We start from the raw sequence: 27,941 nt of genomic DNA, 5'->3' as shown, positions 1-27,941 counted from the left end.
AGGTCCCTAATAGCTATGGGACCCTGGAAAAATCACTTCTCTTGAGCCATCAGTCTCTTCATCAATAAGATTCAACTAATAATGGCCTTTTTTATTTATGTGGTTGGAAAGGTTAAAATAGGTGACACGTGAAAAGTGCCTTGCACATAGAAAGCACTCTATTAATTGAGGGGGATATTATTGTTACTGTTCATTGTTAGTAGTAGCATTAAAACTGATATGATTGCTAATGAAGAAACAGACTTAAAGAGGAAGCAAACCTCGAACAGATGCCACAATAAAGCAACAAAATTGCTGATTCTTCAGGGCTCTTTCTACAGGACAGAGGGACTAGAGCTTACTCTCCCTGAGGTTCTCTTGCTGTTTACTTTGGAAGCTCTGACCTTTCCAGCAGACACCATCACCTGTGCCCTGCAGGGAGCAGAGATTCGGACTTTTTAAGTTTCCGCTTCTGGCTGGGTCTGTGGCCCTTGTCTAGGCTCTGCTAAAACAGATGGCAAACACGGCCACTCAGTAGGTGTCTTTATTCATACTTGTTGACATTTCCCATGGGGAATGGTTGAAGGGAGGGGCAGGGAGGGCTGAGCGGGAAGCCACGGCTTGGTTTTCCTCCATCCAGTGGAGAAGAGACTCGGTAGGGACATGCTAAGTAGAGTGAACAGGGGAACCATCACTATGTGGGCTGAGATGCACTGTGCAGTGACTTCAGACAACCTGAGTCCTTCTGTCAGGAAATGCAATTTCTAAGTGGAAAAAAAAAACAAGACCCAAAGAAAAAAACAAAGTGCATACAAAGCAAACTGCTAATGTAAGAAAGGTTCTAAGGCAGCCAGCAGTGAAAAGCCAGGGGTCTGGAGTGGCCACCTGGCCATGCCCTGTCCCACTGCCCTGTGCCAGGCTGTCGGGCCACCAGTGCCCTCTTGAGACAGTCTCCATTGGCTCCAAGGGTTCTGTGAGCCACAGAAGGTTGTGAAAGGAGAAGAGCCTGAAGTGTGGCAGCACCAGGGCAGCCCAAAGCAGGGCTGCGTTGAAAATATCAAAGTATCTCTTTAGGGGTGGCTCTGAGGGTTGGTGGGATTGGAGGGGGAAGGGGCGCCTGGGAGGAGTACAGTCAGCATCTATTCTTGGGCACCGGGAGGAGCCACTCTCTGGAATCTTAAATTACCAGGTAGGAGTGAGAATGCTGATTAGCTGTAGAGCTGAAGGCACGGCTGCCAGGCCCCTCCGGGTCCTTCTCTAGTTCTCCAGGCCCGGTGTATCGAAGGCAGTGGAGAGGAAGGGCCTGTGGGAGCCAGGGCCAGCTCAGCAGCCTAGCCAGTCGGATTTGATGCTTCCAAACTTCACGCTCTTCAGACTTTGGTTCTCCAGCTTCAGGTAATAGGCACCCTTGAAGAAGTAGCTGTGACCTGGGATAGAGAAAGAAGAGACCGTGACCCCCTTATCCTGACATTCTGGCACACAGAAGGTTCCTGGGAACTTTGAATTTCTGCCTGGCATAGGGAAGAAGCTTTTAAACGAGAAGAGAGCTTTGAAAGGCTGAGGCAGGAGGATTGCTTGAGCCCAGGAGTTCGAGACCAGCTTGGGCAGCATAGAGAGACCCCCATTTCTACGAAAAACATATTTAAATTAGCTGGGTATAGTGGTACATTCCTGTAGTCCAAGCTACTTAGGAGGCTGACGTGGGAGGGTCGCTTAAGCCCAGGAGTTCGAGGCTGCAGTGAGCTATGATTGTGCCTCTAGCCTGGGTGATAGAGCAAGACCTTGTCCCCCCGCCAAAAAAAAAACTCAACTGTGGCGGGGCGCGGTGGCTCACGCCTGTAATCCCAGCACTTTGGGAGGCCGAGACGGGCAGATCACGAAGTCAGGAGATCAAGACCATCCTGGCTAACATGGTGAAACCTCGTCTCTACTAAAAATACAAAAAATTAGCCGGGCGTGGTGGTAGGCGCCTGTAGTCCCAGCTACTCGGGAGGCTGAGGCAGGAGAATGGTGTGAACCCAGTAGGCGGAGCTTGCAGTGAGCCAAGATCGCGCCACTGCACTCCAGCCTGGGCGACAGAGGGAGACTCTGTCTCAAAAAAAAAAAAAAAAAAATTCAATTGTTTCAATCTGAGCTGATTGAAGAAAAGAAAACAAAAACAAAACCAAAACACAACAAAAGCCCAGAAGAGCCCCCTCTGGGAGTGGAAGAAGGGAAATGGCTGTGAAATAAGCTCTTTTATTCCCTGTTTGCTCATCTCTAAGATGAGGATAAAGATTATCAACCTTCTAGGGCTTGCAGTGAGCATTAAGTCAGATAACATATGCTATTATTAAAAACAATAACTCCACTTAACACAAGCATCAAACTAAGCACATTCCATGTACCAGAGGTGGCAAAACAGGATATATCCAGTCCTGTCAGGCCCACAGATGGGTTTTATTTGACTCTCACAAGTTTGTTTTGTTTTGTCTTTAAATCTGAATAACTTGCCAACATGTAAACATCCAAAAAGTCACACAGAAGTACAGATTTCTGGCTTCCTTTAAAAAAACTAGAATATCTAATATAGAATATCTAACAACACCAGGCCCCATTCTTTTTTTTTGAGACCAGGTCTCACTCTGTCACCCAGTCTGGAATGCAGCGGCATGAACACGGCTCACTGCAGCCTTAAACTCCTGGGCTCAAGCGATCCTCTCTGCTCACCCTCCCCAGTAGCTGGGACTACAGGTATGCGCCGTCATGTGTAGCTAATGTTTTTTAAAATTTTTTTGTAGAGATAGAGTCTCACTATGTTGCCCAGGCTGGTCTCAAACTCCTGCGCTCAAGCAGTTCTCCTGCCTTGGCCTCCCAGAGTGCTGGGATGACAGGTGTGAACCATGGCAGCTGCCTAGGCCCCTAATCTTGCCCGCCAATAATTATCTGAAGGTGAGAAGAAAGTGTCTCCTGTAAATGAGGCATGTGCTCTGATTCCGCACAGACTCCACAGTTCCCCACTGTCTGCCCCTGCCTGCTTTACTCATTTGTGCTACCTGCCTGACACATGGAGCTGTTGGAGTTTGTGACTCCTGACATACATAATCTCATTTACTATTAATATGCTAGCATGTAGTAGGTGCTCAATAGATGTTTATTCTTGAAGATAACTCCTAATCTAGCATCTGATTGTACACTGCATTTTCTTGGACATGTAAGACCTTCAGCTACTGGAGGTCAGGGCCTGTGCTTAGCATACAGTAGGTGCTCAAAAAAAAAAAAATCTGTGGAATTTAGTTGAAATCTCCTCTAAAAAAAGCCAAACTGGACCCATTTCCAGGACCCTAGAAAGCTCACAGATGCCTCCTCAAGAGTATGATTTTCAAACTCCAAATTCTATCCCTCGCTGCTACTGGTTGTGTTTTAATCAGCAGGGGGCCAGGGGCAAACTGGTTGAGTGGAGGATCTTTGCCACATGAGCAACAGAGCATGACAAAGTTTGCCTTGTCTCAAATGGAGCCATCCTTCTGCTAATGGGAGGTGGTCACAGGCCTCCTGCAAAACGCAAATGGGCCTGGATCAAACCCCAGAATGAATCCACGGCACAGAGCCCATGTTCCTTCTCCCCTGGCCCAGGCCTTCCGCCCTCCCCTGCCCTGGCTCCAGGCCCTGCAGCTGTGAGAAGTCTTTCTGGGTCTTACTGCCTGGAGCCAGGCCAAGGAGCAGAGGTCAGGGATCTGGAAACCTTCCCAGCACTAGGATGAAGGAGTTGATTTGTTTTCCTGGGCGCCGCCTGCCTGCCTGCCCTGCACAATAAAGAAGTGTGTATTTGCAAGGAGCTGGGCCCTGGCTAGGGGCGGGGAGTCCTAGAAAGCGGAGACAGTCCTGGGTGGCTCACCGCCGCCCTGCAGGTCCACGACGGCATCCAGGTTATCGGGGATGGCATTCCAGGCATCTGCGATGAGCTTGGGGAAGCCAGGATCCATTTTCTTCTTCACCTCATTGTATCTGTAAAGAAACAGACACAGTGAACCAGCAGGGCCTCTCTAAAGGACACTTCCCCCCTGGCCTGGATGGGAGCACCCAGCTGATGGCTCCTGGATAGGCCTCGGAAACTGGACCTAGCCCTTCAGGGAAGCAGCCAGCTGCAGTGGAAGGAAGGGCATGGAATCAGACCTGAGTCTGAGCCTCAGATCTACCACTTTTAATTATATGACTTTGGATGACCCCATAAAAACAATCTCATGATTACTGCTAACATTTATAAAGCACTTACTACATGCCAAACAGTGTGTTAACCACTTTCCATACAGCTACAGTTTTACCAGCTGTAAAATGGGGTTGTGTCTAATTTAGTGTATTTAATTTAATGCATGCATTAAATAAAACAGCACATGCAGAGCCTCTATCCCCATGTCTCATAAATATTTAGTAGGTACTTAAGAAATGTTAGCTCCCTTACAAACAAATCCCTGCTGTAATCCGAGGAGTGCTAAACTAGAAGCCCAGGGATGGGAATCTGCCCCATCATTCTTTCACTTCATGGCTTGGAAAAATTGCTGCTTCTTCATCTGCCACAGGGAGATGACAGTCCCTGCCCTGGGAGATGACCATGGCTGGGGCAGTGAGGTTACAATGCAAGGTGGAAGGTACGTGTAAGTCCAAGGCCTGTTAGTCACAGGGTGGGCCACATGCCACCTCAGTTCCGGCGGCAGCAATCCTGGGCCCCGCCTTTAATTCAGGTAAATACTTTGGGCATCGGTTAGTATGTTCTTCTCCCTGGCTAGCAATCCTTCTGTCTTTTAAGATTTTTGGAGAACTTTTTAAATGCTGCTGTCATGTTGATTCCTTTGCCTCTCCACTTCATTATTCCATAAATATTTACTGAGCTCCCACTATGGGAGCTATGGATATCCTAGTAAACAAGTCTTGCCCAAGTGGAGCTGTTTCTAGATGAATCTGTGTTCGCATCCCATCCTGGTAGCAGCCACCTTTTGCTCCACAGTGCCTCCTAGGGGGCTCCCTTCCTTTCTGCAGCCAGCCTTGACCACCTCCACCCTGGACCCCAACAGCAGCTTTCCCTATATGCTCCCTTCTAGAGGAGACTTCTCCCTCAAAGGGACTTCTCCCTCAGCCATCACCCCGAAGAACTAACGCCTTCCTTAATCCCAGGTGCAGCATAAAACTCATTCTTACAAAACCTGGCATGCTTCCTCATGCCCTGGGTCACCAAAACCAAGTTCCCTAGCTCAAAATCCCAACACTCCCATCCAAGGCACCTCCACTGAGCCCTCAAACTACATTCCCTAGCGTTAGGATAGTTTGGAGATGTGTGTCCCACACTTGAACTGGCCCTCATTTCTTTCTCATTCTACCCACAGAAGGTGGGGATGGCAGAAGTCAAGCCCATTTTACAGATGAGGAAACTGAGTCTCAGATAAGAGAATTAGTTTGCTTCCAAGTTCTTTTCATCCAGAAAGAATACAAGCACTGTGGTGTCAGAAGATGTGGTACTTCTCTGCAGCTGTAGAAGTTGCCATGTATAGCAGGTGTTAAGAACACAGATATTTGTGTCCCAGCTTTTCCTTGAGCCACTTTAGCCTCAGTTTCCACACTTGGGAAAAGGAGCTAACAGTATCTACCTCAACTGAGAAATATAGGTGACCTGCATAGCCTCAGGCTGGGCTATGGTAGAGGCCCCATACTGAGAGCCATCATTATCTGATTCAAATGTGTTTACATAATTTTCCCTCATTCTACTATAAACTACATGAGGGCAGGGTGTGATGATTTTTTGACCCCCGTCTCTCCAGCAGCTAGCTAAGTGCCTGGCACACAGCAGATGTGGAACATATATTTGTGGCTTAGTGAAAGCTTCTACAAGCAGGGCCTGAGCTCTTCTTGGCATGCTGAAGACAGCTGCTCAGCCTCTGTCACTCTGGGGCTCTCTCTCCTTCTCCAGCAAAGATGCCTCTGGGGCCTCTGCAGACTCCACGGCAGGGCCAGTGTCACAAGCTCATTCACCACTTCTCTTGGAATAGAGATCTGTCTCCTTTGGAAGCCAGCCCAGAGCTTCTGATAGGCCCTTCAGCTCTGTCCCTTTTCAGGAAGTCTCAGGGTGGTTCCTCTGTAGAGCACGCTGTCTGTCCTGGCTCTGGCTTTGGGAGGTGGGCTTGTGTGGAAAAGGACTGGGAGGCAAATAACTCTGCCTGGAAATCCAGCAAGGCACTGCCACAACCTCCATGCCTGTGTGTGTGTGTGTGTGTGTGTGTGTGTGTGTGTGTGTGTGTGTATGCGCACATGCGCACACAATCATGTTCCTATATGCTAGGAACAGGTCTGTTTTTGCATGTTTACATAGATACAGTGCATGGAAAAGTGATTTAAAAAGTTCTTCCAACACCATAATTTGAAAACTTCAGGGCTTTAGGATTCTAAGATTCACGTTTCTGTGAGTCTGTGCGGCTCACCAGCCACAATTCTAAGACTTGGAGATTCAGGGCTCCTACAATGCTGAGATGCCATTCGCAGTACGCGTGTGTGTGTGTGCGTGTGCGTGCACACTGTCTGGGGCTAGTGTCTGGAGCTGGTGGGTGGAAAGCCTGCTCTGTGGTTTCCTGCCTGACTGTTTTCTTTCTTGAGGCTTGAGATATCAATCAGCTTAGGTTGCTAAGTGTCTTAGCAATATGTCTGGAATTCCACCCTGACATGGGCAGGCCTGGGATATAAAGAGTTTCTGAATGCAGGGCAGCTGGGGGGCAGAGTAGTGGGGAGGAGGGAAGGGGGAGAAGACAGAGGCCTTAGGAAGTAAGCGGGATTGTTTTGGGGATGGCAGACAAAGGCCTCAGGAAGTGCCCTCTAAAATTCTTGGGTAGGGCCCAGATGCAGTGGCAGCCATGGAAGGAATGTGGGGATACCAGGAGGGAGGGGATGGAAAGACACACCACAAGTCTTTGTGCCCCGACCACTCTTTCCTCACTAATCAAATGGACTGGCAGGTATAGTGGAGGGGGTACTCAGTTAGAATACAAGAGAAGTAGCTATAATCCTGGCTTTGTGCAAATACACATATCTCTATAGCTTGAACAAGTTATTTAATTTCTTTGGACCTCCGTTTCCTTTTCTAGAAAGTGTGAAGAATTACAGTCAAACTCCTGAGGTTTGGGCTACCTCTCACCAGCCACTCCTGGATATTAGGTTCCCTGGTCATGACTATAGCCCCTCAGAACTGGACCCTTTCCTGTAGATAACCTGGAGCACAGAACCATCTGCTTCCAAATTGTTCCCCTGCCAACCTGCACCCACAGCCACGGGCCTGCTGTGAGCATGACACAGGGCACCTGCTCCTTCCATGGGGTCTGATTTGGATGCTGGCTTCTATGGATGACTGGTGCACCCATCTCTAAGTCTTCTTCATATTTTGTCCACTGCCTTCATGTTCCCCCATCTCTTGGAACCCCCATTCCACCATCTCGGGTATAGAATAGTAGTGAAGAGTGAAGACTAACATGTTTTCCCAGGAGACAGAATGCCAGGGTTCAAATCCCAACCTGTCCCTACCTGGCTATGTGACTCCAAGCTGGTTACTTAACCTTTCTTTTTTCTTTTTTTTTTTTTTGAGTTGGAGTCTCACTCTGTTGCCCAGGCTGGAGTGCAGTGGCATGATCTCAGCTCACTGCAACTTCTGTCTTCCAGGTTTAAGTGATTCCCCTGCCTCAGTCTCCCTAGTAGCTGGGATTGCAGGCATGCACCACCATGTCCAGCTAATTTTTTTGCATTTTTAGTAGAGATGGGGTTTCACCATGTGGCCAGGCTGATCTGGAACTCCTGAGCTCAAGTGATCCACCCATCTTGGCCTCCCAAAGTGCTGGGATTACAGGCGTGAGCCACTGTGCCCAGCCACGGTTACCTAACCTTTCTGAACCCAGGTTTCCTCATCTGTAAAATGGGAGGAATAATAATTCCTATCCCATAGAACCCTTGGGACAGTCTCTGACACATAGTGTCAATAGGAGCAGTTATTATCTTTATTTTTATTACCCCCTTCTTCAGTGAGTCATTTCAAAATGTGAGGGTCCAGACCAGACATGGGCCAATCAAAAGAATTCTGCAAAGAGAAAGGATATTCCACCAGAATTATATCAGCAATGTGTACAAGAATGGTTCACCTTTGGCAACATCTCAGAGGTGCCAGAGACCAAAGAGGTTAGATACCAGAGAGAGGGCATCCAGAGCCCACCAACCTCTGAACTCAGCCCAGGAGGCTTGAAGCCTCAGGGCGGCTTCTCTGTCTCTCGCAGCCAACTGTGCTGCTGTCCTACCCACCGCCCTCCCTTACCTCCAGAATTTGTCTCCAGCAAAGATGTATGTCTTCTTGTTTTTGCTCCAGTTAAAGGCGGCATCCACTCGCTGGACATCAGGGGGCAGTCCCAGGCTGGTCAGTGGCTTGGGGTACCCTCGCTCCAGGGTGCTGGCTGAGTAGATCCAGTATTCATTCCCTGGGGTGGAAGCAAAGGGTGTGTTGGCTGGTGCTGACATGCCCTAGGCCAGCCTGTTCCTCCCATCATCTGTCTGTCCACGGGCCCCACTGCAGCCATTCCCAACAGAGTGCAACTTCCTGCTCACTCCTGGTTGCAGTGCCCAGAATCAGGGCTCACACAGAGGGCTTTAGAAGTCAATTACAGAAGGTGCCTGGTCAAGGACATGAGTTGGGGGATAAATCCAGCTCACACTCTGCTCACCAAGTCGTGCACTCTAAGGGCCTTGCTGTCATAAAGAGGCACCTTTTGCTAATTTGCAAAAAGGTGCCCTAGGAGCCAGCAGTTGTCCTCTCCGGGACCCATGATTACGGTGGATTGGGGGAGGTGGGAGCCAGGTGGTGGAGACAATAGTCTTGGCTGAGCCTTTATCTTCTCTAGGATCCCACCTCAGACCAGGACAGGGACCTCCTAAATCCTTCTTTACCCCTCATAAGAGCCCAGCTGTCTGTCTCCCTGAGTGGTTTGTGAGCATCGCGAAGGCAGAGCTTGTATCCCCAGGGTATGGCAAAGCCCAGCGCATGGAAATGCTCCAATAAATGTTAAATGAGTAAACCTTAGCCATACAGACCTCACCTTGATGATTTCTACCACTTCTAGGGGCTCCCTGTACTATTATTTACTTAACATTCTGCTTTCAGTGAATTCATTTTGAAATCTTTAAAAATAAATTTATTAAAAAATGTTTTTTGACTGTCAAAATATCAGTTACTGAATAATCCGTTTCTGTCCTGATTTGAAACTCCACACTATTATAACTAACTGCCTCTGTTAAAACCAATTTATGTCTAAAAGTAAAAATGAAAACAAATATTCTTTAAAACATTCGAACTAAAACTGTTACCTGCCAAAGACTGTATCACTACAAAGGCGTTAGGGACACACCAGCACTAAACTGAGACTTTTTTTCTTCTAGAAAAGAAATGAGACGGATTGAAAAGAATTAAGAAAATGAAATGTGTACACTGAGGGTTAATGCTATCTGATGTTGGGTGTCGGAACCAATCTCCCAGAGGAGCTGCGCACTTCAGGAAATAATGTTGAAAGAATGAATCCATAAAGGAAAGGGAGCACCCACGGGTGCATAGGAACTGTGGTTTGAGAGGGGGAGTGAGCCTGGGACACCCAGGAGCCCTGGTGCAGAGCCCTGTGGAGCTGAGGGCCAAGGAAGGGTGCTTCCCACACACCTGCAAAGAACACAGCCTTCTCCTCCTGTGGGGCCTCGTATACCGCATCAATCTTTTCCGGGAGCTCAGGCCAGAATGTGGCCACCAGCAGGGGCCCCATGGGCTTGTCACGTGGCGTCACAGTCCGCCAAATGAACCTGGCAGGAGGCAAGGGGGCACAGGAAACCACATCTTCAGTCACCCTGCAGCTCGAACCACACACACCCCCAAACCCACCCAGAAACATCCCAGAGATGATTCCATGATGGGAGTGGGAGGCAGGATCAAAGGAAGGTTGGAGAAGGACTGGAGAACGGGCAGAGTTCCTGTCTGCAATCTGCTGGAGCTGAGAAACATCCTCCTACCCTGTTCTCTCCCTCTACCTCCTCCAGGAAGCCTTCCCTGACTACCTCCATCCATATTGTGTTTTCCCTCTCTAAGCCTCTCAAAATCATCAACTCTGAGTGCCTGGAACAGTAGTGTCTGTTTGTCTTAACTCTCCTATTTGATTAGAGGCCAATTGGGGCAGGAGCTGATGACACTCAAGTATTTCCTGAATTAAAATGAAATGAATTTGTGTACTTTGTCAAGAGTAAGAGTTATCATTTATTGAGGGTCCTACTAAATGCCATGTGCTTTATTTATGTGCCTTGTAATTTAATCCCCACAATCTTTTAAGACAGCATGCACTCTGGATGGTCTACCTAGCATTAATTATCTATTTCCCCACCATCCTTCTTCACAAAACTCCACATTTATGATCCAGCCTTCACCTCCTCTGACCCTGTGTCCCCTACCCCCATTCTAGGGGTAGATACTGATTGGTATAAGCCACTGGTTCTCAAAGTGCAGTCTCCTGACCAGCAGCATCTGCGTCACCTGAGAACTCATTAGAAATGCAAATGATTGGGTCCTTACAGAGATCTACAGATAAGAATCTCTGGGCTTGGGGCCCAGAATCTGTGTTTTAACAAGCCTTCCAGATGATTCTAACGCATGCCAAGGTTTGAGAACTACTGGTCTAAGCCAATCAGAGTTTAGCATTCCCTAGCACTGTTACTGATTCAGCAGTTGCCATATGACTTACAGTGGTGTAAAGACGGAACACACAGACTTGTATTTCACATCTGGGGGTCTGTGTGTGTGTATCTGTGCGTGTCTCTTTCTCTCTCGCTTCCTGGGAGAGGGCAGGGATTAGAGCCCCAACTGCCACTGGTAACCTTCTTGTGACCATGAGGTAGAACCGGCCTTAGGATGAAGTAAGTGCAGAGGCTAGCAGTGGACAAAGACATCAAGTCACTGACCCTCTCTCTGCCCCTGCAGGCAGCTCTACCCCTGGACTTTGTACCAAATGAAAGCAATTTCTCTCTACTGTTTAGGCTGGATTGAGTTTGCAGAGGGATGGTCTCTGTTATTTGCAGAAAAACATCCTAGCGTAGGAAGGTGTCACAATTTTTATTTAGCAAATGAAGCTCAGAGAGGTTAGGATTCAAATTACTTAGTTATCACTACATCAATGACTAAATAAATTAGTTATTACCAAGATTCATATCCAGATCTGACTCCAAAGTCTGAGTTTAATCACCCTGCAATACTGTCCTTCATGACCCCCACCCTCACCAGTGCCTAGCAGCAATTTTTGCTCATGGTTGAAGTTTAATATTTACTGGTTAATCAAATAAACCCATTAAACACTCATCACGTTCCTTTTGAAAGAAAACTGTGATGTGGTAGGCCAGGGATGGCTCCAGCCTGGGTCTGGGCTCTGCATCCTTTCCTAGGCCCCACACATCTGAGATCTGCATGTGTGGTCAGGGCTTTCTTAGTGGGAGGAGCTCCAGATGAAGCACATTGCCAGATCCTTACAATGGGAACTGCAGAGCAGTGCTGACATCTGCTGTTATATATCCTGATTTGGGCATTCGAGGCCTGACGGGACCTGATTTCTCACTACATTCTAAGTCTCATCTCTCATTGCATTCTTGCCATTTCCCCATTGGCCAGCAGACCCTGTGAAGGGCAAGGCATCTGCACCCCAGAATTTGGCCCAGTGCCTAGAGTAGAGGAAACTCTTCCTGAAAGTTTATGGAACATCTTCTAGCCTCACCAGATTCTCACTGGCTAATCCAGAAACTTTCACATCACTATGGCTTGGCTCTGCAGGTCCCTCTGTCTCAAAGAACCTCCTAACTTGTCACCCCCATCAGATTCTTGCTTCTCCTTTGAAGGCTCTGCTCAAATGCTGCTGCATCTGTGAAGCCTTCCTTGACTGGGACGTGCTCACAAAAGCACCTAACACCTCTGCGATCACTTTTCTTTCATCTTGCCATGTCAGTTCTCCATGCCTATTTCTCAAACTGGACTTGTGATGCACAAACTTTAATGTGCATCAGAATCACTGGGAGAATTTGCTAAAACGCAGATTCCTGGGGCCTAGCCCCAGAGTTCCAGTCAGGAGGGTCTGAAGCTGGGGCAGAAAACCCACCTTTTAATACCCACACTCTAGATGGTTCTGTTATAGGAGGCCCATGCGCCTGTCTTTGAGAACACTGATCTAGCAGCCCCCCACCCCACTGTCCCGAGAACATCATTCTTCCTCCTCCAGCTACTAAAGCCTAGCAAAGTATTTGGCACAGTAGATGCCAAACAATTATTTGTCAATAACAATAGCTAATATGAATACACTTACTCTGTGTCAGGCATTGTTTTTGTTCTCAGCACTAAGTTCATCTAATCCTTACAACAGCCCTAGGAGATAGGTTGGAATATTAGCCCCATTTTATAAATGAGGAAACCAAGGTACAAAGAAGATACTTAATTAACTTGTCTATGATTACATAACCAGTAAGTAGCAGTTACAGAATTCTAACCCAGAGAATCTGGCTTCAGAGTCCATTTTCTCAACTACTATACTCTATGAATGAATAAATGGATGAATAATGAATAATGGATGGCTGGATCATAAATAATGGATAATAGATGGCTGGCTGGCTGGATGGATGATGGATGGAAAGATATAGGTATGGATGGATGGATGGGTAGATGGATGGATGATAGAAGAATGGAAGGACAGACCCTTTAATGAGGTCCTAGATACTGCCTGCCATTCTCCAGGGAACTAGGGCATTAGGGTAAACCTCAGTCTTTAGTCAACTGAGTGGTGATCTTTATCTATAGCATGAAGAATACCACCTCTTTCTACTCTGCAGTCACTCACCACCCATACACAGAGTAATTTGGCCATTTGAGGGCAACGCCATTCTAGAAGGCCTGTGGTAGACTGAATTATGGTTCCCAATTCTTCCCTCCATTTTGATTTTAGGATTATGCATTCATATGCATTTCCATGTGACTTTGCAGTACTACCCTCTAGGGTAGGTCTTGGGATTGGCCATGTGACTTATTTCAGGCAGTGGAATATTCTCAGACAAGATGTGAGTGGAGGCTTTAAATGAGCTTGTGTAGTTCAGTTTGGCCTCTTGCACCCTGTCATCTGCCATGAGTAGCTGCTAATCCCATGAGAACAACAGGCAGAGCACACCTGAACCCAAACTGTAGCTGAAAGTCAAGATAACTAGTAGACCCACAGACTATGAGAGAGCAAACAAAATGCTTGGGTGCAAATCCACTGAAACCTGGAGGTTGTTTGATACACAGCAGAAACTGCCTAATTCAGGTCATTCTGGGAAGCATTTGGCGGAGTCTTCAGCGAAGAGTGAGGGAAAAGAATAATGGTATAAGAGCAGAGGACAGGAGACAAGGAGGACAAGAAGCAAGCTCCTGCACTCACCGGTCCTTGAAGAAGAAGATCTCACCACGGATCTGAGCGATGCCATCAAATACAATGTCCTGTTTGCAGATCTCAGGAGTGACAGGGCCCAGCGTGGGGGTGGGGCCGGTGCCAAGGTCAATGTCAGGAGAGGCCCCTGGGGAGAACACCTGACCTTAGACTCTCTGCAGCTCCAGAGGTTCTCCCCACTAGGGTGAGCCCCCAGGGGTGCCCACCCAACCATCTAAGAGTCAGAAGAAATCGCCTTCTGGCCTTAGTGTAAGCTCCGTAAGGTAACAAGAAGATGCCTGGACTTGGGGAGTCCTGGGGCCCTTTGTACTTTATATATGCTTTTTACTGACATCACCCAAATCAGTCCTCTCTATAGCCCTGGGAGTGGGGTATCATGATTGCACCATTTCACAGGTGAGGAAACTGAGGCCCAGAAAAGTTGAGTGACTTGCCCAAGGATTCAAACCCAAAGCTCAGATTCTTATGCCCACAAGAGTCAGGGCGGTCAGGGGGCCGCTGGTGTGTCCAGAACTGACAGTATGGCACTTTTCATGATAAGCAATTATTTTAGAGATGAGGAAACTGAGTCCAAAGAGGTATAAAGACTTACACAATATCTTGCAGCTAGTGAAGGGCAGAGGCCACATTTGAACCCAGCACCCCTCACGGCAGACCTTGGGCTTTTTCCTGAGTCTAGCAGTCCCCAAACTTCATCACTCAAGCACCACTTTCACTATTTTGGCCTGGCTCAGATATCACCTGGACCATTAAATATTTTTTAAAAATGAACTGACTTTTTAAACTCTAGCCTCACTGTAAGAACCAACAATAAATAAATAAATAAATAAATAAATAAATAAATAAATAAATAAATAATTGGCTTAAGGCACTGGTTGTTCTGTTTCTACTACATACTAAAAATCAAAGCTTATTATGAAAACTAGAAACTTCCACCCCCGTATTGTTAAGGTCATTCCACATGATGGAAAATTCTGTCCTGTACTTGGCTATTCTCCTGGATTCTAAACTCCACTGGGTTGCTCAAACCTGTGTAACCTTGCACCAGGTGACCTTACTCACCTAGAAAATGGGAGAAACCCAGAAATGGAGCGCTAAGAGTGACATGGATATTAGCATTGTTCGGATAGGGAAGAGTTATCCAAGTATCCCCTTGGAGAGCTGCTCTGCCTTCCCAAGACCAGGTCAACACTCCCATTTCCTGCCCTCGTCTCCAGCACTCCTGGCTGGATGAGATCTTGCTGGTCCCACCCCCTGGGCCTCCATCCCAGGCTACATGACCTCCCCCCTCCTCACCCTCCACCCCCAACCCCCGCCCGGAGGTTTACCATAGAGCTCCTGAATGCCCTTGATGTCATCCTGGGACAGACGGAAGTTCTTGGTGTAGGTGTAAATGGGTGCCATCAGGGCCCCAGGGTCTTGGGAGTGCTCCAGCCCCATGGCGTGGCCAAACTCGTGGGCTGCCACGAGGAACAGGCTGTACCCTGAGGGTTGCAGGGAGGAGAGAGGGTTGAAAGACAGGAAGAGAGATGAGAGAGAAGTCAAGACCTGACCCAGTGATGCAGACTTTTGAGGACAGCCCCACAGTAAGGCTGAGAACCCTGGAAGCGGCATGTATTGATTTTTTTTTTCTTTTCCTGAGAATTCTGGGATCAATACACAATTTTGGGATTAGTGCCTATTGTTTCCAAGTGGGGTCAGCCAAAGTCTTCTTGTCTCTTTCCAAGTCAGTATCAGGACAGGTGTGCTATAAAGGAACAGAACAAGTAGTATCTGCGAATTTTCTACTTAAAACCCCATTCATTTTAAAATCCTGCTTCCTGGCTTTTTATGTCTCTCTATAAAAGATGAGCTCTACAAACCCAGCTCCTCAGCCTCTCTGAAGAGGTAAGAAGAGTGGGGATAGGCTGGCCCCATGTTGCCACCATTTCTGCCCAGGTGAAAGCAGTAAAAACCTTTCACACTTAGCGTGGTTGCACAGGCTGAGCCACAGCCAGCGAGCAAAACCTGTGTCACACCCTGTTGTGGTTAAATGCGTCCCCCCAGAAAAGATTTGCCCAAGTCTTAACCCTAGGGACCTGTGAATGTGAACTTATTTGGAAATAGGCAGGAGAATCACTTGAACCCAGGAGGCAGAGGTTGCAGTGAGCCGAGATCATGCCACTGCACTCCAGCTGGGCAAGAGCAAGACTCCGTCTCAAAAAAAAAAAAAAGGAGGAGAGGCAAGCAGAGGGGGAAGAAGGCCATCCATGTCATGACAGAGGCATAGACTGGAGTGACGCATCCTTCAGAGGGAACATGGCCTTACTGACGCCGTGATTTTAGACTTCCAGCCTCCAGAAGCATGAAAGAATACATGGGGTTTGTTTCAAGCCATCAGTTTGTGGCACTTTGTCATGGCAGCCCCAGGAGACTATAATATTCACCCTGGGTGAGCCACTGAGCTCTGGATACTTGAACCACTCAGGAAGGTGGAGAATCCCACCTTTAAGCTGGTAAAATCAGACTGTGTCCTAGCAAGGAATTTAGCAGGGGATAAGAAAACCTCCTTTGGCCAGCCTCTGTCCACTGACATCTGCCAAGTTCCATCTCATGATGATTAAAAAGAATGAAAGCAACATAAAGACAGGCTTGCCTAATTCTGACAGGCCCTGGACCTGCCCACTGACCTGGCCATTATGGGCCATCAGGGAGCTTTAAGCAACCCTGCAACCCTGGGCTCTGTAGCCTAGATTGGGCACAGGGCCCCAAGCACCCTGCTCACTGCACTGAGCACATAGTAAGGTCACAAGCTGTCTCCTGGTCACTCTCTCCCCTGAGCTTGTGAGTCCTAGGGGGCAGAGAGCTGTCCCAGTCAGCTCCATCCTCAGCACCCAGGACTGACGAGGACCCACCATTTACACCCTGGTAACAGATGGTGCTGACTGATGGGGGAGAGAGGGCTCTGGGGGCTCCCCCAGGGCTGCGTGGACCATGGTGTCAGATCAAGCATGAGGCTCTTCCTTTTTTCCTTTCTTCTACTGCCTACCAGCTCCTTGAAGGCACCTCTTTGTGCAGTGGGAATGTCTCTTAGGAGAATTGTCTCTCTGGTAATCTGTGCTCAGAATTCAGCCAATTTTGGTAGTCACAAGCCCGCCTGGAGGGTGGCTGAAGGGGAAGACAAGAGCAGTGACCCCTCAGGAAGGCCAGTTCTTACCCAGGAGGTGAGTAGCAGCATCTGGTCTACCAGGGTCTGATTTTGGAGGCTGTGCCTCCACCTGGATGGGCAGGATCTAAGCAGGGACCTTGGCTCCACCAGAGATGGGCATTGTCTCAGCCCAGGTGGGCGGGTCTGGGTAGGTGGGTGTCTGGGGGGCAGTGTCTATGCTTGAAGTGGGTGAGGTCTCAGGAAGGTTTTTGGAGCAAGTTTAGGGGCAAGGGCAATGTCCAGGGTCTCTGTCCAATGACCAGGGCCTCGTACCTTGGTCAGGGCAGAAGCCCCACTTGCGGTCATCATCGTAGTTGGCTGTGGTCGCACACCACATCTTTCCGTCACTGCGGCCGGCGCTGGTGCAGCTCTCATATTTGTTGCCCAGGAAAGTGAAGGGGAAGACACAGGGGGCACCTTCTGAGTTCCCACCAACAGTGGACATGGCTGTGGGGTTAGGGATACGGGTCAAGGCGCAGCAAAGAGTCTGAGGCTACCACCAGGAAGCAATGACATGACGCTGACCTTAATGAACCACACCTAAGTTAGACTCAGTCCCAGGCACTGTATCTTTAGACTCATCTCACCCACCCCTGACAACAGCCTTGTGCAGGAGGGACTGAATAGCACCGCGTTTCATGGATGGGAAATAGATCAGAGAGATGATGAAATTTCCCTAAGCCAACACTGCTAGGAAGTATCAGAGCTGCAATTCAAACCCAGGAAGCCAGATTCCAGAGTTCTAATGAGCCTCCCATGGAAGGGGGCAGATGGGCTAGGGGCAAAGGGAGTTGGATGAAGCTGATGGCACCAGCACATGCCCCTCAGCTGTGAGCCCCCTTGGGCAGGGCTTTGCAGAGACCAACCTCTGTGTATGCTGCACAAAGCAGGCGCTCAGTAAATTCCTGTTGGAGGAAGGGAAGAAGGAAAGGAGGGAGGGATAGAGAGGAGGGCAGGAAGGAGACAGGGAGGAAAGCACGGAGCTCTTAATAAAAAACAGACTAAAAGGTGGAGATACAGACCAGGAAAGGCAGGGAAGAGAGATTGCAGGGTCAGAGAGGAGGAGAGAGAAGTCTCTGCCAGAGAGCCTGAGAGAAAAGGGATGCAGGTCGGTCAGAGGATCCTGAGCAGGCCTGACATTTAAGTGTCACCAATTCAACTGTTGATGCCCAATGTCTGTTCTGATTTCAGTGCCCAGGCCATACCAGGTGACAAGTATCCTGACTAGCTACACGGACATCTTGGTGTGGATGTCATTCGCACAGATGTCTTAGCACCCCTGTCTTGGGGAAAGGAGGTGGGCACTCGGAGTCTTATGGGTTTTTTTTTTGTCAGACAGCAGGTGCTGGGCCCTGAGGGAGGGAGAGGGAGTGGCACCCACCGGTCTCAGGGCAGAAGCCATACTTCTTGTCGCGGTCGTAGTCCTCAGTGGTGCCGCACCAGCGGTAGCCATCCGTGCGGCCCTCAGTGGTGCAGCTGTCATAGGATGTGCCCTGGAAGCGGAATGGAAACTTGCAGGGCTGTCCTTCAGCGTTGCCGCCCATGGTGAACAGGGCTAAGGGTGGGGGAGAGAGGGAAGGATGTGAATGAGACATGCTTCCATGGGCACAGGGCTGGCTGGCTGCCCACCTGCCGGTTCACACCAGTGAAGTTGATGCATTGTTAAAATATTAAGAAAACATCTCTACTGGTTGGTAAGGAGCTGCTTCTCTGAGCTCCCAGAGAGAACCCCTGCTTCCCTGGTTATCCCAATCCCTCCCGTGGGACCTTGTGGACCACCCAACAACAAAATGATTGACACCTGGCACACAGCAAGGGCTTCTAGAACCCTGCCTCAGCCCCAAGGGCACTGTCCATTCTGCCTGGTCCACACCTGTACCATGCAAATTTCATGTAATAATGATGTATGACATGAATATATCAGTCATGGCAGGCAGGACCACGAGAATCTCTCTCCATTTGATAGGTGGAGAAATCAAGGCTAGGACAAAGATGGTTCTCAAACTGCTCATGGTCACAGAAATGAAAGAAGTGAATGAAGGTTGTAACTAAAAACTACAAAACACACTAATCTCAATCTCTCTTGCTTAGTCTGTCACTCTCATATATGTGTGTGTGCGTGCACACGCATACACAGAAAGCTTGCTTTACCTCCTGTCAACCCCAGGCCCCTTCCTGGATGGCCTTGTTGCAGTCTCTGTAGGAAGGAGAGAAAGAATGAAGAGGAGGAGGGAGGGAGAGGGAGGTGGTGCCTTCAGGTCCCTTTTACTAAACACTCTGGGCTCCTACTTTGACATCTTCAAGACAGGGGCCATAAATGGAGAGTTGGGGGAGGGAGTGGGGTTCAGAGCCTGGCCTGTCTGTCTTGGATTCTCCCCATCCTCCCCTCATCCACCCAAAGCTAAAAAATGGTGTCTCTGGAATTGCCAACCAGCAAAACCACAAGTCCATAACAAGGACCATCTGTGCACAACGGCGCCAGAGGTGACCTCACCAGCCCCCGTTAACTCCACCATGGCCGGAATGGAGCCCAGTCCCTGGCCTCCCACCACAGAACTCGAGGCCCTGTATCCTCACCACTCCCCTCTCTACCAAAAGACCTTGTCCTGCAATGCCAGAAACAATGGCACCTAGAGAAAAGGCAAGACTGAGTCCAGATACCTTAGTGGCCTCAGAGTTGAGAAAGGCAAAGCGTTAACTTCGACCAATGCCAGCCCCCTGCCTCTGACCTCTCATTTCTACCACCCAGGAAGCCCCTGTCTCCTCCCAAATTCCCCTGACAAGGATGGCAAGAATCAGACACTGACTCAGCCATCAGCAGGGGCTGAGTAACAACAATCTCTGCCTCGAGACCCAGACACGTGCGTGTTGTGCGTACTTGCATCTGGCTAAGCACAAAGTAAATGGCTAATGTCCAATGCAGGGAATAACCCTTCCCAAATTTATGAAATACAGCTGTTTCCACATCTAACTATCACCAAAGCTTTCTGTTCCTATCAGAGGGGTGACACAGGGAAGGGTTAACGCCACATGTAATCCCTACCGGGAAACGCAAGATACAAAAAATATTTTTATTTCAAAATGTCTGACTTATTAATGGTGAATGGCTTAAACTCTTACTTAATATAAAGTTTAGCTCTGGTAGTAAAAGCATAAACAGGAAGGGAATTAACTAGCTCTTTGTTTCTTTCATTCTGTCAAGATGGTTGGTGCTTAGTTTTCAGTTACAGTGGGGTTAGGGAGATTCACAGACATAAAATTACAGACAAAAAGACAGTCTTTAGTCTATGTAGACTATAGAGTCTTTGTGACATGGGAAAGAAGATAGTGTTAAAAATTTTTAGACTTTTTTCCATTTTCGCCAGGTTTTCTGGGCTTTCAATCTGCAGAATTATCAAATATGATGACTTCATAGAGTATGAAGTTACATTGTCTTTTTGTGATTTATGACTATTAAGTGTGTCAAGGATATTTTTAAAAAGGATTGAGTGTGTATGTCAATATCTGTACCCCATTTTAAAAGATTTCCCCCATGTGGCTTCAAAATCTCTGAAATGTTGCATCTCAGGCACTGACAAGCACACAAACACAAATACTGAGTCAAGCCTAAAGTCTTTATCAAGACACAGAGATGCAGACACAAGCTAGACAGGAGGCAGAAAAAGACAGTGCCCAAGAGAGGCAGATAGTATAGCCCCCGTGCCCAGACACACACACACACACACACACACACACACACACACACACACAGGCACACACACACACACACACACACGCATTAGCAGAGGCAGCATCAGGACCAAGGCAGGAGCAATAGCTGAAATTCCTCAGTTGGAGTACGCAAACCAGGTTGAGTCCAGCCCTGGTCTGAGTCCTGCCTCCCTATCACACTGCTAGGTTTCCAGCTACCAGCAAGCCTTTCCTCATGCCCTTGAAGTATCAATCTTGACTGAAGTGTAAAGACTGGTTCTAGAGAGAACCACTGGGCATTGTAATAGTTCTAAGTTCACTCCAATATATATTAGAAATAAATAATTAGCAAATCAAATCTGTGACTTCCTAAATGATTGCTAATGGTGAAACTTAAAAAAAATCAACTTGATTTAATTAGAGTACTACGTTCATCATGGTACTGGTGGGAGAGAAACAGCAATGGCTCAGATCAGGATGGGGGGGAACTGAGTGAAGGACGTTGGAGGGATGCTCATTAACTGGCAGTGGCAGCCAGTCCTGGAGAGTGTGGAGGGAAGAGCACACTGGGGAGCCCGGGAAGCTGGAGGCTTGGGGTGGAAAGTCTTGGGGACTAGAGTGGATGCTCACCTTCATGGGGACAGAAGCCGTACTTGCCATCCTTCTCAAAGTTGTAGGTGGTGGAGCACCAGAGGAAGCCATCGCTGCGGCCGGTATCAGTGCAGCTGTTGTACTCCTTGCCATTGAACAAGAAGGGGAACTTGCAGTACTCCCCATCGGCGTTCCCATACTTCACACGGACCACTAAAGAGTGACATGGAAGGGGGAGGTTGGACTTCTCCAGGCCTTCTTTGGAGACCAAGATTCTGACTCACCCAGATGTGTGACTTTCCTCCCCTCCCACCTCTCTGGTCCAAGCAAATGGAGTGGAGAGAGGACAGGAGAGAAGGTCTGGGGCATGCAGAGGGCCCCTTTCTCACCTTGGCCTTCTCCCAAGGTCCATAGCTCATCGTCATCAAAATGGGAGTCTCCCCCAACACCAGTGCCTGGGGCGAAGGCATGAGCCAGGAGTCCGTCCTTACCGTCAAAGGGGTATCCATCGCCATGCTCTGAAACACACACTGGGTCTTAGCGTCTAGCTGTGCCACCTAGACCCTGAAACCCCTCCACACCCCATCTACATGTGGAGCCTGTCAGCCCACCCAGCATCTGTCCCCTTCCCTTGTCCCAGTGGGGTTATCCAGGACTGTCAACAGGAGCTCAGTAGAGATCTGCTGACCTGGTTGTTACCATCCTATGGTCTACACTGCTCTCCCAGGTTTACATGACTCCCAGTATCCATACCCTCTACCTCCATTGTCTACTCTACCACCATGACACTATATGTACCACATACCCACATTACCACACTAGTGTCCTCACCCCATCTTCATCATCCCCAGTGTCTATGCCATCCTCCATCCTGTCAATACTGCCCTCTTAACCACAATCCTGCCTTCATGTCACACTATCACCAATATCTGCAACATGAATCCTCATGCCCACCTTGTCACCAAGGCCTGTACCACCCACCCACTTGTCTACATTGTTTCCCCTGCTCTTTACCTTCATCACTTACCACTCAGTGTCTATACCACATACCTTTATGTCTGTGCTACTGGCAGTGTTCACACCATAAACTCACATGGCCACCTGGCCCCAGGTTCTACGACCCTTCCTCTAGTGTCTACACTGCTCCACTGTTTCCAAACCACTCTCATATATCTACAGTTCCTCAGTGTCTACCAGCATCATCCAACAGAGCTTTCTGTGATTAAGAGGAATATTCTTTGTCTGTGCTGTCCAAAATCAATAGTCACTAGCCTCCTGTGTCTTTTGAGCACTTAAAATGTGCCCAGTGTGACCAGGAAACTAATTTAAAATTTTTAACTAATTTAAATTTAAACAGCCATGTATATTCTGCCTAATGGCTGCCATATTGGACAGCACAGTAGACCACTTGCTTCGGGTTTAGACGGCCTCCAGGTTATACCACAACACACCATCTGCCCCCATGTCAACGTGGCTCTCCAGTGTCCACTCCGTGTTGTGCTGCCCCCATCTAAACCACCCCCAGGGCCCACACCATCTACTGTCCTATCTAAGCCGCCCTTAGGATCCCCACGCCCCTCTAATGTCCATCTCACCCCCTCGTCTCAACACTGATCCCTGCTGGCCCCTCTTCTGCCCCATCTTCTGCCTACCCCAGCGGCCAAAGTTGATCATGATGTCTGCCTCTCCATCATGGATTCGAGAAAACCGCAGTGGGGTCACATCGCTCCAGACTTGGAAGGCACGAGCAAAGGCATCATCCACTGTCTCTGGGTCCAGATCAGGTGTGTAGCCAATGATCCTGGAGGTGGTAGAACTGCATGTGAGTGTGTATGCATGTGCATAAGTGTATGTATATGCAAGTATGTGTGTGTGCACAGATGTATGAAAAAGTTTGAGTGTGTGTGTGTATGTGAACATACAAGTATATGCACAAGCACGGGAAGGGTGCACAGGTATGTGTATGTATATGTGAGCATGTGCCTGCGTGTATGTGTGTGTAGGCTGGGCAGGGCTCACTGCCAAGGACAACCCTCCCAGAATGCCTTGAAGACCCAGGGAGTCCCAGGCCAGCCAACATTTTTAGGCCCCAGCTCAGGAGTTCCATCTGTCACTTCTGGCTGGTGGGGGAGGGCCATAAGTAGTGCATTATGGGGCACAGGGCAAAGATCCCACCATTGGAACCCAGCACCACCCATACAGAGCACAGCTCTTGGCCCAATTAGCAACCAGTTATAACCCAATTGGGCTGCTAAACCCAATTAGCTACCAATCATCACGTTCCTTCTGCCCATCCCAATGACCTCATCTAAAAACAATAACAATGACTAGCATTACTACACTCTTGCTCTGTGTCAAAAATCATAGAAGCCGTTTGTATTAGTTCAGCCTAGCTTAGTTCCCCAACATACCATATAAGGGCATTTTTTAAGCCCCATTTTGTAGATTGGAAAGCCAACATTCACAGCACTGAAAAGTAACCCAATGTCTCATGGCCAGCAAGTATGAAACTCAAGTCTGTCTGACTTCATTTTCTAAGAACTGTGTATTGAAACTCCCTAAGATGTCAAGCCTTCACAAAAGACACCTCATGGATCCCCTGAGTGGAGAGAATGCATGGGTCAAGGAGACTCGTGTCCCTCAGCCCCATGGCCCTGCCTCCCCAAGCCCTGCCCCGGCACCTGTATGTGATCTGGTTCTTGTCCCACTTGGGCTTGCGAGGGAAGAAGTTGTAGTTGGCCACATCTGGGTTGCCGCAGCGTGGCTTCCGCATGGTCTCGATGGTATTCTGGTCAAGATCACCTGTCTGGGGCAGTCCAAAGAACTTCTGCATCTTCTTTAGTGTGTCCTTCAGCACAAACAGGTTGCAGCTCTCCTTGGGGCAGCCATAGAAGGTGTTCAGGTATTGCTGAAAGAAATGCACACCCCCAAGGCAATTAGCCACATTAGGATGGCACAGTACTGACCAAAGCAGGCTGTAGCAATCAGCCCCCCAACCCAGTGCCATAGTCCAGACAGGAAATAAGCCAGGGGTCCCAGAGCACTGGGTGGAGTACTGGGTTCCCAAACCAGCACGGTCACCCATTAGTTGAGCGACAGGACATACAGCTATAGAGAGCATGGCTACCACTTGTTGGTGCTGGGTGCTGACTATATGTCCAGGCACTAAAGTCAGAATATGTTAACTCATTTAATGCTCAAAACTCTGTAATGTAGATATACTAACCCTATTATACAGAGGAGGAAACTGAAGCACAGAGAGGTTAAGAAACTTGCTTACGATCACACAGTTCACAAATGGTAGATCTGGATTTGGGACAAAGCAATCTGGCTCCAGAGGCTGTGATATGGAATCATTATACTCCAGCATCCTTCCTTTACCTCTATCAACTCATTTATCTACCTTGCGGCTGGTGACTTGGGGACTTTTTTCCTCCTGTTTTCTTCTAAAGAGATTCAAGGACTATGTGCATGGGCTCTGGCAGTAGACAGACCTGGGTTTAAATCCTGAATCAGCCATTTGCAAAAAGAAAGTAGTCCTGTCCTTCATGAGTCATACAACTGGCCCTGCCCAAACTGAGGCCCAAACTGAGCAGGTCCCTGCAGAGGTTCAGGGAGCAACCGACTCATTTATTTATTCAACAAATACTTTTTAATACCTACCATGTACCAAGCCCAGTGCTACTGCTGAGGAAAAACAGGTGAAAAAGATAGACAATTCTGTCTCTAAGGTTCAAATCCTAGCAGGGAGGCTGATAGATCCCAAATAAAACAAAATGAAGTATGTGATAAGTACTGTGTTAGAATGTTGAAAGGAGCCAGGAGATCTTCTGACAACGGTCCTAGCCTTGTTGGAAGTAGTTAGGAAAGGGGAAATGGAGGACATAACAATAATAATAATATAATAGAATAATGGCTAGTGCTTATTGAGTACTTACCATGTGCTAGGTAAGCACCTAAGATTACCTCTCTTTTAACCCTGAGATAGGAAATTTCCCAGTTTGCAGATGAAGAAACTGAGAAGTCACTTGCCTAACATCATCACTAGGCCAGCTGGTTGGTTCATGCACTCTTTGATTTGAAGCCAAGCGGTCTAAGTCCAGAGTTATCTTCTTAAGCCCCCACTGCATTGCCTCTGGACAACACAGACTTCCATTTGTCAGAGGTGTTCAAACCAGGCACCTCCATCTTGAGTGGGGGGCTGGGTAAGATGAGGCTGAGACCTGCTGTGCTTCATTCCCAGGAGGGCAGGCATGCATTCTTAGTCACAGAATGAGACAGGAGGTTGGTAGGACTGATTTCACCATATACAGTTCGGGTCACAAAGACCCCTATGATAAAACAGGATGCAGTAAAGAAGCTGGAGAAAGCCCACCCAAACCAAGACTGCAATGAAAGTGACCTCTAGTCGTCCTCACTGCTCATTATATGCTAATTATAATGTATTAGCATGTTAAATACATTAGACACTCCCACCAGCGCTGTGACAGTTTATAAATGCCATAGCAACATTGAGAAGTTACCCTATATGGTCTAAAAGGGAGAGAAACCCTCGGTTCCAGGAACTCCCCACCCTTTTTCTGGAAAACTCTTAAATAATCCACCCCTTGTTTAGCATATAATCAAGAAATAACCATATGTATACTCAGTCCAGCAGCCCATTCCCTGCTCTGTCTATGGAATAATCACCCTTTTATTCCTTTACCTTCTTAATAAATTTGTTTTCACTTTACTCTGTTGGCTCGCTCTTGAATTCCTTCCTGTGCAAGCCAAGAACCCATGTGGCCCCCAGGCTGAACCCCAATTTAGGGGTTCATCCTGTGACCCATTGGCTGGAAAAGGTGTAGGAAACCAAGTAGCTTTGTCATTGTCCCAAAGCTCCACTCTCACCCCCACCCAACAGCCACATCATTATGCCAGCCAGCTCCAGATCCTTGAAAAAAGTAGCCCTCTAAAAATGTATGGAGGTTTCCCAACCCATCTATCCAGAGGGGGCTGAGACCTAGCTGTTTGGAAGGGTGAGAGTTGGGAGAGGGTAGTTGTCACCTCCTGAAGGAGTTCCTAGGGTGACCAGAGGGCATGGGCGTCTTCTCCCGGACAGGTTGAGGGGGAGGCTGGAGGGCAGGGTGGCTGAAGCAACAAGGGAGCAGATATCCCCTGGACTGGAAAGGACATCTTGATGGGTCCCTGGCCTGCCTCTCTCCTCAGGCCCTACTTACGCAACACTGCGGCCAGGCTCAGTGCCCCTCCAGCCAGGCGCGCGCACGCTCACAAGACAACATCTGAACCGCGGTTTGGGAGCCCAGCCAGGAAGGAGGGCTCTCTGGCCGCTCTCCGACCCGAGCGGAGCGCAGTCCGCCCCCGCCCCACGCGCCGGGCCCTCCAGCGCCTGCCCCACTCCTCCTCCCTCCTGCCGGGCCAGCTCTCTCCTTCTTTTCTCCGACCCTTTGGAGAAGTTCGAGGAAACTTTCCGAGGCCCAGCCCTTGACCAATTTGTCCATTAAGCCAGGAGAAAAAAGATGCGCTCTCTGCTTCCCTCCTGCCCCAATCACTTCCCAAATGGCCCCCTCGAGCTGTTTGTTTAAAGGTCCCTCTCCGGATCTGTGCCGAAGGTTCCTAGAAATTTGCCAAGCCCCGCTTTGACCAAGCTCCCTCCCATCCTTATGCGCGCATAAGTTTACCCAAATTGTGTGCCAGAGCACCGTTCCCAAAGTCCTACATTAGCAAAAACGACCCCTGTAGCTGTTTGCCAAAGGCTTACCTAGACGCTTGGCAAGAGCCCTTAGCAACTGCCCAGATGTGTCCAAAAGTTGTTTACAAAGACCGCCCCCCCCCCCCGCCAAATGTCCCAGATACTAGAGGATGTCCCCGCTATTTACATAAGAGTCCCTTTCCAGTAGTTTGCCAGGTCACCCCTCTCCCACTCTCTGGCTTGTTTTTCGCCCCACTGCTGTATGCTGAAGGTTGCCAAATTGTTTATCAAAGGTTTTCTTTGCTTACAAAAGATCCCCCACCGTTTGCAAGAGATCACTCCAATAGCTTGCCAAAGACCCCCCAAGCTGTTTACCGAAGCCCCTCCCCCACGCTGTGTGCCCACCGCCGAGGGCAGGGGGAGAGACACCCCCATCCTTTGCCTCCGAAGTTTGTCTAAACGTGGTTCCTTGAGGCCAGCGCAGCAACTCACCACTGCCAACTCTTTGTCCGTTTTGGGGGCGACATCGCCGGGGAACTTGATGATGGGCGACGGCGCGGCGGCGGCGTGGCTCAGCAGGCAGCCCAGGAGACAGAGCGCCCTCAGGGGACCCGTGAGCGCGCCCCGGGCCATTAGCGCCTCCATCGTAGCGCTCCCTGGCCCCGCGCGTCGCCCGGGGGTCGCTGGCTCGGTGCGTGTGGCCGCCTCGCCGCCTGGTTGGAGCCTGCTCCGCGGCGCAGGGCTGCGCTCCGAGGGTCCGCTGGCTCGGTGGCCTGGGGTTTGCCCGGCTCAGCGGCTCATGGTCCGGCCCCCGCGCCCCAGCCCCCGCCGCCGCCGCCGCCGCCGCAGGTCCTGGCAATCCCTTTGTATGTTTAAAGCCCCAGATGCGCAGCCTCCAGCCACCGCCTGAGGAAGTCTGGATGCAGCGGAAACAAGGGAGGGCAGCCGCCAGATGTAGCCGGCTGGGCTGGGAGGGAGCTGGCAGAGCGGGGCTGGGGGCGGGGGGCGCACTCGGGCCCGCCCCTCTCTGCCCCACCCCCCTACTCGCCCTCCTCCACTTTTCTCCTCTTTTTTCCTTTCTCCACCTCTTTTCCCCGGCCGCCTGCTACTCCTGGCCTCTACGTCCACCCTCAGTGCACGACCTCGTCACCCCACTTGCCTCTCTCGCGATCTGGGCGCACAGCCTCAGAACCCCCTGCTGGGAAACATCTGTCGCTCTAGGCCCTTGACGTCCTGAGGTTAGAGAGCAGCGGTACTACTAGGAGGGACGCCGGCTTGGCTAGGACACCCTGCACTCCCTGGGGTCAGGAACGGGAAGGAA

At 49.2% G+C, this 27,941-nt stretch overlaps 1 protein-coding gene across 5 annotated transcripts, besides 1 other annotated feature; it reads right to left on the bottom strand.

Annotated features, from left to right (window-relative positions):
- Positions 54–27,915, bottom strand: MMP2 (matrix metallopeptidase 2). Of its 5 annotated transcripts, none has more exons than NM_001302508.1 (13): positions 27,780–27,915; positions 23,610–23,836; positions 22,581–22,729; positions 21,318–21,446; positions 20,968–21,141; positions 18,029–18,202; positions 16,921–17,094; positions 14,789–14,944; positions 13,452–13,587; positions 9,683–9,819; positions 8,297–8,456; positions 3,857–3,966; positions 54–1,406 (listed from the first exon to the last, which is right to left on the bottom strand). In NM_001302508.1, the coding sequence occupies exons 2-13, from the start codon at positions 23,759–23,761 to the stop codon at positions 1,303–1,305; spliced, it is 1,755 nt and encodes a 584-aa protein (NP_001289437.1). In that variant the 5' UTR covers positions 23,762–23,836; positions 27,780–27,915; the 3' UTR covers positions 54–1,302. The 5 variants fall into 5 exon arrangements, with proteins under 5 accessions (NP_001289437.1, NP_004521.1, NP_001289439.1 ...); NM_004530.6 differs by lacking the exon at positions 27,780–27,915 and adding an exon at positions 27,113–27,547; NM_001302510.2 differs by lacking the exon at positions 27,780–27,915 and adding an exon at positions 26,690–26,747.
- Positions 3,751–4,252: an enhancer, noted in NCBI's record as "H3K4me1 hESC enhancer chr16:55536405-55536906 (GRCh37/hg19 assembly coordinates)". NCBI's record gives its function as "activates a minimal SCP1, AML or CMV promoter by ChIP-STARR-seq in primed H9 embryonic stem cells {active_cell/tissue: H9 hESC(primed)}" and the evidence as "EXISTENCE:reporter gene assay evidence [ECO:0000049][PMID:30033119]".

This window comes from Homo sapiens, chromosome 16, assembly GCF_000001405.40.
Source record: "Homo sapiens chromosome 16, GRCh38.p14 Primary Assembly".
NCBI lineage: Eukaryota > Metazoa > Chordata > Mammalia > Primates > Hominidae > Homo > Homo sapiens.
This window is presented reverse-complemented; position numbering and strand designations above follow the sequence as displayed.